This window comes from Homo sapiens, chromosome 6 (assembly GCF_000001405.40).
Source record: "Homo sapiens chromosome 6, GRCh38.p14 Primary Assembly".
Classification (NCBI taxonomy): domain Eukaryota; kingdom Metazoa; phylum Chordata; class Mammalia; order Primates; family Hominidae; genus Homo; species Homo sapiens.
The window spans coordinates 110259751-110271940 of record NC_000006.12 but is presented as its reverse complement, the minus strand read 5'-3'; the positions used below and the strand labels follow the sequence as shown (position 1 = coordinate 110271940).

General features: G+C 39.1%; 1 protein-coding gene across 3 annotated transcripts in view, besides 1 other annotated feature; it reads left to right on the top strand.

The window, feature by feature from the left end:
* Window positions 1-12190, top strand: part of METTL24 (methyltransferase like 24) — a 114410-nt gene that overhangs the window by 86409 nt on the left and 15811 nt on the right. The gene's annotated exons all lie outside the window — the stretch shown is intronic.
* Window positions 1410-1911: an enhancer, noted in NCBI's record as "H3K27ac hESC enhancer chr6:110591233-110591734 (GRCh37/hg19 assembly coordinates)". NCBI's record gives its function as "activates a minimal SCP1, AML or CMV promoter by ChIP-STARR-seq in primed H9 embryonic stem cells {active_cell/tissue: H9 hESC(primed)}" and the evidence as "EXISTENCE:reporter gene assay evidence [ECO:0000049][PMID:30033119]".

Here is a 12190-nt window from a genome sequence, read left to right as displayed (position 1 = left end):
ATTTAAAAATTCCTATAGGGCTTGGTATAAACAAAATTTGAACTGGGTTTTTGTCTAGAAAGAAAATGGACATATGTCTCATTCTCCACAAACAATGAAATCTGTTTTTGCACTATCAGCGATTTATTATTTCCCCAGGAATCCTATTAATCTAAATTGCAGATAACACTGAATAAATACTTTATATTTAGCTATGAACTGTGCATTTATAATTGCATTTAAATGTGGGTTTGGAAATCACCCCATAGATAACTGAAAATTGACTTTTTTAGAAAAAAATGTAGATTATATAGATTTTTTACATGGACTATGGACTCGCTTTTGTTGATCCTTCCCTGTGAACTGTTTTAAGTTCAAATGTATGTGTGGGTGAAAATTTTCAGCACACAGATCAAGAAGCTCACCATTAATATAACCTTATTCATCACACTGAATTTTTTGGAAACAAAAAATTGAAAATGTATGCTCTTAATTAGCCAGGTGTGGTGGCATGTGCCTGTGCCTATAGTCCCAGCTACTCAGAAGGCTGAGATGGGAGGGTTGCTTGTGCGAGGGAGGTGGGGGTTGCAGTGAGCCAAGATTACGCCACTGTACTCCAGCCTGGGCGACAGAGCGAGACCCTATCTCAAAAAAGAAAATAAAAAGACAAAGAACGTGTATGCTCTTAATTGAAGATACTAGAAAGCTGTCTTCTGCATGAACTTATTAGATAAACATCCACTTACAGTCCTTCAAAGTAAAGTAACCAAATTTGGCAACTGCACTTCAAAAGAACCAAGATGGCTGGACGCGGTGGCTCACGCCTGTAATCCCAGCACTTTGGGAGGCCAAGTTCGGTGGATCATCTGAGGTCAGGAGTTCGAGACCAGCCTGGCCAATGTGGCAAAACCCCATCTCTACTAAAAATACAAAAAAAAAAAGAAAAATAGAAAATAATTAGCCAGGCATAGTGGCGCACGCATATAGTCCAAGCTACTCGGGAGGCTGAGGCAGGAGAATCACTTGAACCCAGGAGGTAGAGGTTGTAGTGAGTCAAGATCATGCCACTGCACTCCAGCCTGGGCAACAGAGCAAGACTCCACCTCAAAAAAAAAAAAAAAAAAGAATCAAGATGGTGCTGTTCTTCCTCTCCTCATGTAATGTAAGACAAGACAATTAGAACTCATTTGTCTCTTTTAAGACATTTATGGAAAACAGTGGTATGAGGATCCTTAGTAATTTAAAAAACCTAGAGTAACTTAAACTTGCTAATATAACATCTTGTAAGAGATTTGGCTTTACAGGAAGTTCAAATATTATTATATGCCTGAAGGAAGCCGTTATTTAGGCTGTGAGGTAACAATTCTCATTCTATGTAACTAAATTCAGAGCTCTCTTTGGCGCCTGAAAAATGTCTGCCTGAAACCACCCACTCCTCAAAATGTAGTGCATACATTTTATTTTGGGAAGGTGTTCATGGCGACAGGTTAGCAACTGACTGTCTGCTTAGCCCCATAAATGGTGTACGCACACTGGGGAAGCTGCATTCTACCCTTTGTTTCCATTGAAAAAAATGCCATTGGAACCCCCACCCCTCCCCCCACAACCAGCTCCAGTAAAACTGCATTGCCTCATGGCTGAAACCTCCCAGGCATCAGCAATTCCTTTAAGGAAGGAGGATGAGTAAGAGGATAGAGGATCCTGGAAACCTCAGTCTAAAAATTTTAAAACGAGCCACCACTGAAGTCAAGTAAGATGACACAGTCCCTGGTTGACAACCCATAAAACTTTAATGATTATCTCTACTCTCTGTGTTCTGAGCCAACATATGCACTCAAAAAAATCCATTATATGTATTGATCTCTTCGATTCAGTTAGAAGTATATATTTTTGGATGATTTTCAAAGGATCATCGTTTGCCAAAATCCCCAGCATGTCGATTCATATCAACAAAGAAATAAAAGTGTCTTTTTACTTTAACTATTAGACAGCCATCCTACTCTTTTCTCTGTTGTGGGACTGAGGAAAAAGAAAGAATTTAGGGCGGTCAGAGAGGAGAAATCTCAATCAGGAGTCCTCTAGAACACTCCTCTTCCTTGTTCTTTTCCTTTATATGCTCTTCTTCTACCTCCTTCTTGTCAAACAAATGAGGCTTTTAACATCATATGAATATTTAGATTACTCATTCCTCCAGTCCTCCATCCCTTCCTTCCCTTTGAATTTGCAATCTTTCTGCTTCCGCAATTCAAAAATTGCCAAGTGTGAATCAGTGGATGTTATGAAACATGAAAAACAAAACAAAACAAACAAACAAACAAAAAAACTTCTTCCTAAATTCATATTAGCATAAAAATACAATGACCACAATATTTTTTCAGGAAGAAAGATCAGCTCTCATTTTTTATCATAGCTCTATGTAGGTTAAATTGTGTGGGTGCATTTTTACTACTATGGGATCAAAAAGTCTCGGGACAGCCTACTGAATTATGCCTAAGAGGAGCTTAGGCTGTTTGCAGTCATCAGTGGAATGCTGAAGTCAAAATGTTGAAATGATCTTTTCCTGAAATATAAGAGAGCTGTTCATGAGTATTAAAAAATGACGCCCTTTTAAAGGGAAAACAACAACAACAGCAAAGAACTCACCAGAAACAGATTTCAGAATTATATGTACTATTTGATCCCAACTATTAATATTTTCTAAAGTAGATAGAATACTGTAAGAAATATAACCAAAAGTTGATAGACATTTCCTCTTGGGACTGGGATTTTGGACAATGTTTTTCTTCTTTATATCTTTGTTACTTTTCTGATTTTTAACAATTACTGTATCTTAAACAGCAACCGCTTCCCAAATTACTGTCCCTTCCTAAGGAATGGAGAGGCTTGGGGTGGGGTTGGGATGTCATACGTTTGTTTCTTGGTATATTGGGTCTCAAATAATTTTTTCTTTTTGACAATTTAACATGTGATATGATGTGGGCTGTAGACCTGGCCTCTTACAATTAGACCTAATCCTGAATCTAAGAATGAAAGAGAATAGCATAATCCATTTTTGGTGTGGAAGGGGATGAGTTAGAGGGAGGAACCCCTGTGTAGCAGAACAGGGAGGGGCTTTGTGGCAGTTATTCCAGGTTCTACAGTTGAAAATGATGGCTCTCCTATTATGTGATTATATTAATTTGTATGGAGTTTTATAAAATGTGAAATGGCAAAGAAAATGTCCCAGCCCCAAATTATGCCATTTGGTCATACAGAACCTATGAAGTTAATAGGAATGGCAATGTCATTACTCTAAAAAAAAGTCCATGGAACAAGGAGGTGGGAGAGGAGGCACTAGTTCTGATGATGTAGTGAGCTACAACTGCTGAAATGTGTGTGTCTTGTTTGCAGCCAGGCTGGATTTCTGCCGCTTACCCCCAGGAATGGCAGCAAGCAGGCCATGCACATGCTGGAAGTTCAACAGAGACTCAGATTAATAGCTACTCCACATTTGCTTTTCTTCTATCATTTTTATCAAAGGAACTGTTAAGTTATGAACCCTCACCAATGTTGTATTTTGTGCTTGGATCCTTCAATATTATAGGGGTGTTAAGAACATGCTGCAAGAACCCCTGTTTTGAAGTCAGACCCAGTTAGAATCCTGATTCCACCACTTAATAGATATGTGTGATCTTGGTGGATTGTTTAATGTCTCTGAATCTCAGGTTTGTATGGACACTGTTTGCTATTGGTCTTGGCTTCAACTCTCACAAACTGTATGACCTTTTTGGGCCTCAGTTTTCCCATCTGTAACATGAGGATAACAAAAGTGCCTATTTCATTTGCTTGTTTGAAGATTGATTGAGGCATTCCATGTAGTGTTTAGCCTGCTGACTAGCTGGTTACATGATTTGGATGTTTGTCCCTTCCAAATCTAATGTTGAAATGTCATCCTCAGTGTTGCAGGTAGGACCTGGTGTGAGGCGTTTGGATCATGGGGGTGGATGCCTCATGAATGGCTTGGTGCTGTCCTTGAAATAGTGAGTGAGTTCTTACTGAGTTCACACAAGATCTGGTTGTTTAAAATAGTCTGAGATCTACCCCCTTGCCCTCTCTTGCTCCCTCTCTTGCCATTTGACATGCCTGTTCCCATTTTACCTTCCACCATAATTGTAAGTTTCCTGCAGCCCTCACAGAAGCAGATGCCAGTGGCATGCTTGTACAGCCTGCAGAACTGTGAGCCAAAATAAACCTCTTTTCTTTATAAATTACCTAGCCTCCAGTATTTCTTTATAGCAATGCAAAAATGGCCTAATACAGCTGAACACAGAGCAAATGCTTAAAGTTAGCTATTAGTTGTGTCATTATCAGTAGATACAAGATAAACAGATAAACATCATGTTCTGTGGAATGGTGCATCCAAAACAAATGTTAGGAACTTTTCAACAATATCCAGTGAGAGCTGATGAACGATTATTTCTGCAAGTAAATTGTCTAAGCATGTTTACTAAGATGAAGTTTTTTTATCTAATCTATATCTGATATCTGGTATATTTGTTTGGTTATCGTATGAGTGATATATATAAGTAATAGGTACTGGTCTTTCTGTGTAGAAAGTTTTTCCCCTCTCATTCTAATCACTACATAAATTTAACAGGAAGTTCAAAACTTGTACTGCTTGAATTTTTTCTTGCAGGTTTTTCTTTCTTATTTCATGGCCTTTAGCCATACATCTGTTTATAGTTTGCTTTCACTTAATCCTTCCTTTTCTCTTGGGCTGGGCCTTGTATATATGTGTTGATGATAAGCAGAGGGGACTTACCATAAATTTAGTGAAACTCAAGCTTTAGGGCCTGTCACTTGCATGGGCCATAGGCCCCTTCCAAGATCTTCACTTAATTCTGTATTAGATGTTATAATTTTGTATTTTTTTTTAAAAAAAAAGCAGGTCCCTCAAGTGAAGCTTGAGGCCCCACAAAATCTGGATCTGCCCCAATTATAACTTACAGCTTTTTTTTTCAGGTTAAAGACTTGACACATTCAACTTAAAATTGTTAAAAGTGAACGTTACTATGAGAGCATTATGAGACTAAGGATGTTTTTGTTTTCTTGTTCTACTTGAGGTCCTGATTACATTTTGCTCTGCTTCTTCAAGAAAAATAATCTATGCTTTCATTAAAGTCCTTTGGCTGGTCAAAATAATGTCAGTATCTGGCTGCTTAAGTATATTCCAGAATTTCAAATGAATAGATGAAGAGGACATCTAACTTTGTGAACATGCTGCCTCAAACTGAGATTTTTCAGCCCAAAGGAAGTGACCAAGTATGATTTTGCAGCCCAGTTTTGCTAAGCATTGTAGATTTCTAGAGTAAGAGAGGAGGGATAGGACAGTGTGGTGGTCATGAGAACTGTCGCAGGAGAACTGCCATGATCCTGGAGGAAAGGAGGAGGAGGCAAGAGGGAAGGATGTAGGGAATCTAGCCAAAGAATAGAGATCCCAGAATTAGAAAATTGCTTACCAATTTGGCAGTGCTAAATAAGAACAGTAGACGTTTAGGTGGGAACTTTAACCTTCAAAAGACACAGATTATTGGTCTATCGCACATCCACTAACCACTTCTTTACAAAAGCTTTGAAATCCCAATAATGTTTCTAATGTGGATATCACTCAATAAGTAGCCGAGAATACTAGAATATGTTGGATGTATTTCAGATTAGGTTGAGTTGCATGTGAAAAAAAGTAACAGTAGTTTAAAAATAGAAGCATTTTTTTTTTCCTGCCAGACACAGTGGCTCATACCTGTAATTGCAGCATTTTGGGAGTTTGAGGTGGGAGGATCGCTTGATGCCAGGAGTTCAAGACCAGCTTGGGTAATATAATAAGACCCCATCTCTACAAAAAAATTGTTTTAAAAAGAGCCTGGTGTGGTGGTATGCACCTATAGTCCCAGCTACTCTGGAGGCTGAGGTAGGAGGATTACTTGAGCTCAGGAGCTTGAGATTGCAGTGAGCTGTGACTGTACCACCACACTCCAGCCTGGTTGGCAGAGCAAGAACCTGTGAAGAAGAAGAAGAAGAAAGAGGAGGAGGAGGAGGAAGAGGAAGAAGGAGGAGGAGGAGGAGGAAGAGGAAGAGGAGGAGGAATAAAAAAGAAAAATTTTCTTCCTTCTCTTACATAAAAGAACTCTGGAGGGAGGTAGTACAAATCTTGTAAGGAGACTCCAGAGTCATCAAGAACCCAAGTTCCATCCAGCTCTCCCTACCTCCTCCCCTGGCATATAATCCTTCTTCTTATGGTTCAATATTACTGCTGGAGCTCCAGCCATTACATCCTCACTCCAGTTGAAATGATGGAGGAAGCACTAAGTATAGCCTTTTCCTTTAAGGAAACTTTCTAGAAATCCCACATGACACTTTTACTTATATCTTATTGCTCAGATTTTAGTTACATGACCACACAGTCATAAAGAAACTAGAAAATATAGTCATTTGTCTGCGCAGCATTGAGGTCAGCTAGAAGTCAGGGTTTTGTTGTTGAAGAAGAAGGAAGAATGGATACGTGGGCAAGCAACAGTCCTGCCATGCTATATTTGCCTTTAAACCACGGTATGTATTGCTGTTTTCTTTATTTTATAAAATGCTTTCCTCAGTACATTTCATAGGATCTGAATTTGTATTAATGTGCAAACTGGTATTGATCAGAAGTTAATTTAGAAAACACCAGTTGTGCTTTTCTGGGCACTCCTGGTGCAGAGAGATTCTTGGCATAGAGGGATATTAACTTTCTTTCTTTCTTTCTTTCTTTCTTTCTTTCTTTCTTTCTTTCTTTCTTTCTTTCTTTCTTTCTTTCTTTCCTTTTTTATTATACTTTAAGTTTTAGGGTACATATGCACAACATGCAGGTTTGTTACATGTGTATACATGTGCCATATTGGTGTGCTGCACCCATTAACTTGTCATTTACATTAGGTATATCTCCTAATGCTATCCCTCCCCACTACCCCCACCCCACAACAGGCCCCAGTGTGTGATGTTCCCCTTCCTGTGTCCATGTGTTCTCATTGTTCAATTCCCACCTATGAGTGAGAACATGTGGTGTTTGGTTTTTTGTCCTTGCAATAGTTTGCTGAGAATGATGGCTTCCAGCTTCATCCATGTCCCTACAAAGGACATGAACTCATCATTTTTTATGGCTGCATAGTATTCCATGGTGTATATGTGCTACATTTTCTTAATCCAGTCTATCATTGATGGACATTTGGGTTGGTTCCAAGTCTTTGCTATTGTGAATAGTGCCACAATAAACATACGTGTGCATGTGTCTTTATAGCAGCATGATTTATAATCCTCTGGGTATATACCCAGTAATGGGATGGCTGGGTCAAATGGTATTTCTAGTTCTAGATCCCTGAGGAATTGCCACACTGACTTCCACAATGGTTGAGCTAGTTTGCAGTCCCACCAACAGTGTAAAAGTGTTCCTATTTCTCCACATCCTCTCTAGCACCTGTTGTTTCCTGACTTTTTAATGATCGCCATTCTAACTGGTGTGAGATGATATCTCATTGTGGTTTTGATTTGCATTTCTCTGATGGCCAGTGATGATGAGCATTTTTTCATGTGTCTTTTGGCTGCATAAATGTCTTCTTTTGAGAAGTGTCTGTTCATATCCTTTCCCCACTTGTTGATGGGGTTGTTTGTTTTTTTCTTGTAAATTTATTTCAGTTCTTTGTAGATTCTGGATGTTAGCCCTTTGTCAGATGAGTAGATTGCAAAAATTTTCTCCCATTCTGTGGGTTGCCTGTTCACTCTGGTGGTAGTTTCTTTTGCTGTGCAGAAGCTCTTTAGTTTAATTAGATCCCATTTGTCAATTTTGGCTTTTGTTGCCATTGCTTTTGGTGTTTTAGACATGAAGTCCTTGCCCATGCCTATGTCCTGAATGGTATTGCCTAGGTTTTCTTCTAGGGTTTTTATGGTTTTAGGTCTAACCTTTAAGTCTTTAATCCACCTTGAATTAATTTTTGTATAAGGTCTAAGGAAGGGATCCAGTTTCAACTTTCTACATATGGCTAGCCAGTTTTCCCAGCACCATTTATTAAATAGGGAATCCTTTCCCCATTTCTTCTTTTTGTCAGATTTGTCAAAGATCAGATAGTTGTAGATATGTGGCATTATTTCTGAGGGCTCTGTTCTGTTCCATTGGTCTATATCTCTGTTTTGGTACCAGTACCATGCTGTTTTGGTTACTGTAGCCTTGTAGTATAGTTTGAAGTCAGGTAGCGTGACGCCTCCAGCTTTGTTCTTTTGGCTTAGGATTGACTTGGCGATGCGGGCTCTTTTTTGGTTCCACATGAACTTTAAAGTAGTTTTTTCCAATTCTGTGAAGAAAGTCATTGGTAGCTCGATGGGGATGGCATTGAATCTATAAATTACTTTGGGCAGTATGGCCATTTTCACGATATTGATTATTCCTACCCATGAGCATGAAATGTTCTTCCATTTGTTTGTATCCTCTTTTATTTCGTTGAGCAGTGGCTTGTAGTTCTCCTTGAAGAGGTCCTTCGCATCCTTTGTAAGTTGGATTCCTAGGTATTCTATTCTCTTTGAAGCAATTGTGAATGGGAGTTCAGTCATGATTTGGCTCTCTGTTTGTCTGTTATTGGTGTATAAGAATGCTTGTGATTTTTGCACATTGATTTTGTATCCTGAGACTTTGCTGAAGTTGCTTATCAGCTTAAGGAGATTTTGGGCTGAGATGATGGGGTTTTCTAGATATACAATCATGTCATCTGCAAACAGGGACAATTTAACTTCCCCTTTTCCTAATTGAATACCCTTTATTTCCTTCTCCTGCCTGATTGCCCTGGCCAGAACTTCCAACACTATGTTGAATAGGAGTGGTGAGAGAGGGCATCCTTGTCTTGTGCCAGTTTTCAAAGGGAACACATCCAGTTTTTGCACATTCAGTATGATATTGGCTGTGGGTTTGTCATTAATAGCTCTGATTATTTTGAGATACGTCCCATCAATACCTAATTTATTGAGAGTTTTTAGCATGAAGGGCTGTTGAATTTTGTCAAAGGCCTTTTCTGCATCTATTGAGATAATCATGTGGTTTTTGTCGTTGGTTCTGTTTACATGCTGGATTACGTTTATTGATTTGTGTATGTTGAACCAGCCTTGCATCCCAGGGATGAAGCCCACTTGATCATGGTGGATAAGCTTTTTGATATGCTGCTGGATTCGGTTTGTCAGTATTTTATTGAGGATTTTTGCATTGATGTTCATCAAGGATATTGCTCTAAAATTCTCTTTTTTTTGTTGTGTCTCTGCCAGGCTTTGGTATCAGGATGATGCTGGCCTCATAAAATGAGTTAGGGAGGATTCCCTCTTTTTCTGTTGATTGGAATAGTTTCAGAAGGAATGGTAATAGCTCCTCCTTGTACCTCTGGTAGAATTCAGCTGTGAATCCATCTGGTCCTGGACTTTTTTTTGGTTGGTAAGCTATTAATTATTGTCTCAATTTCAGAGCCTGTTATTGGTCTATTCAGTGATTCAATTTCTTCTTGGTTTAGTCTTGGGATGGTGTATGTGTCGAGGAATTTATCCATTTCTTCTAGATTTTCAAGTTTATTTGTGTAGAGGTGTTTATAGTATTCTCTGATGGTAGTTTGTATTTCTGTGGGATCGGTGGTGATATCCCCTTTATCAATTATTATTGTGTCTATTTGATTCTTCTCTCTTTTCTTTTTTATTAATCTTGCTAGCAGTCTATCAATTCTGTTGATCTTTTCAAAAAACCAGCTCCTGGATTCATTGATTTTTTGAAGGGTTTTTTGTATCTCTATCTCCTTCAGTTCTGCTCTGATCTTAGTTATTTCTTGCCTTCTGCTAGCTTTTGAATGTGGTTGCTCTTGCTTCTCTAGTTCTTTTAATTGTGATGTTAGGGTGTCAATTTTAGATCTTTCCTGCTTTCTCTTGTGGGCATTTAGTGCTATAAATTTCCCTCTACACACTGCTTTAAATGTGTCCCAGAGATTCCGGTACGTTGTGTCTTTGTTCTCGTTGGTTTCAAAGAACATCTTTATTTCTGCCTTCATTTCGTTATGTACCCAGTAGTCATTCAGGAGCAGGTTGTTGAGTTTCCATGTAGTTGAGCGGTTTTGAGTGAGTTTCTTAATCCTGAGTTCTAGTTTGATTGCACTGTGGTCTGAGATACACTTTGTTATAATTTCTGTTCTTTGACATTTGCTGAGGAGTGCTTTACTTCCAACTATGTGGTCAGTTTTGGAATAAGTGTGGTGTGGTGCTGAGAAGAATGTATATATTGTTGATTTGGGGTGGAGAGTTCTGTAGATGTCTATTAGGTCCACTTGGCGCAGAGCTGAGTTCAATTCCTGGATATCCTTGTTAACTTTCTGTCTCATTCATCTGTCTAATGTTGACAGTGGTGTGTTAAAGTCTCCCATTATTATTGTGTGGGAGTCTAAGTGTCTTTCTAGGTCTCTAAGGACTTGCTTTATGACTCTGGGTGCTCCTGTATTGGGTGCATATATATTTATGATAGTCAGCTCTTCTGTTGAATTGATACCTTTGCTATTATGTAATGGCCTTCTTTGTCTCTTTTGATCTTTGTTGGTTTCAAGTCTGTTTTATCAGAGACTAGGATTGCAACCCTGCCTTTTTTTGTTTTCCATTTGCTTGGTGGATCTTCCTCCATCCCTTTATTTTGAGCCTATATGTGTCTCTGCACGAGAGATGGGTTTCCTGAATACAGCACACTGATGGGTCTTGACTCTTTATCCAATTTGCCAAGTCTGTGTCTTTTAATTGGAGCGTTTAGTCCATTTACATTTAAGGTTAATATTGTTATTTGTGAATTTGATCCTGTCATTATGATGTTAGCTGGTTATTTTGCTCATTAGTTGATGCAGTTTCTTCCTAGCCTTGATGGTCTTTACAATTTGGCATGTTTTTGCAGTGGCTGGTACTGGTTGTTCCTTTCCATGTTTAGTGCTTCCTTCAGGAGCTCTTGTAGGGCAGGCCTTGTGGTGACAAAATCTCTCAGCATTTGCTTGTCTGTAAAGTATTTTATTTCTCCTTCACTTATGAAGCTTAGTTTGGCTGGATATGAAATTCTGGGTTGAAAATTCTTTTCTTTAAGAATGTTGAATATTGGCCCCCACTCTTTTCTGGCTTGTAGAGTTTCTGCCGAGAGATCACCTGTTAGTCTGATGGGCTTCCCTTTTGTGGGTAATCCAATCTTTCTCTCTGGCTACCCTTAACATTTTTTCCTTCATTTCAACTTTGGTGAATCTGACGATTATGTGTCTTGGAGTTGCTCTTCTCGAGGAGTTTCTTTGTGGCCTTCTCTGTATTTCCTGAATTTGAATGTTGGCCTGCCTTACTTGGTTGGGGAAGTTCTCCTGGATAATATCCTGCAGAGTGTTTTCCAACTTGGTTGCATTCTCCCCGTCACTTTCAGGTACACCACTCAGACATAGATTTGATCTTTTCACATAGTCCCATATTTCTTGGAGGCTTTGTTTGTTTCTGTTTATTCTTTTTTCTCTAAACTTCTCTTCTCGCTTCATTTCATTCATTTCATCTTCCATCACTGATAACCTTTCTTCCAGTTGATCGAATCAGCTGATAAAGCTTGTGCATTCATCACGTAGTTCTCGTGCCATGGTTTTCAGCTCCATCAGGTCCTTTAAGGACTTCTCTGCATTGGTTATTCTAGTTAGCCATTCGTCTAATCTTTTTTCAAAGTTTTTATCTTCTTTGCCGTGGGTTCGAACTTCCTCCTTTAGTTCGGAGAAGTTTGATTGTCTGAAGCCTTCTTCTCTCAGCTCGTCAAAGTCATTCTCCGTCCAGCTTTGTTCCATTGCTGGTGAGGAGCTGCGTTCCTTTGGAGGAGGAGAGGCATTCTGACTTTTAGAATTTTCAGTTTTTCTGCTCTGTTTTTTCCCCATCTTTGTGGTTTTATCTACCTTTGGTCTTTGATGATGGTGACGTACAGATGGGGTTTTGGTGTGGATGTCCTTTCTGTTTGTTAGTTTTCCTTCTAACAGTCAGGACCCTCAGCTGCAGGTCTGTTGGAGTTTGCCAGAGGTCTACTCCAGACCCTGTTTGCCTGGGTATCCACAGTGGAGGCTGCCGAACAGTGATTATTGGTGAACAGCCAATGTTGCTGCCTGATCTTCCTCTGGAAGTTTTGTCTCAGAGGAGT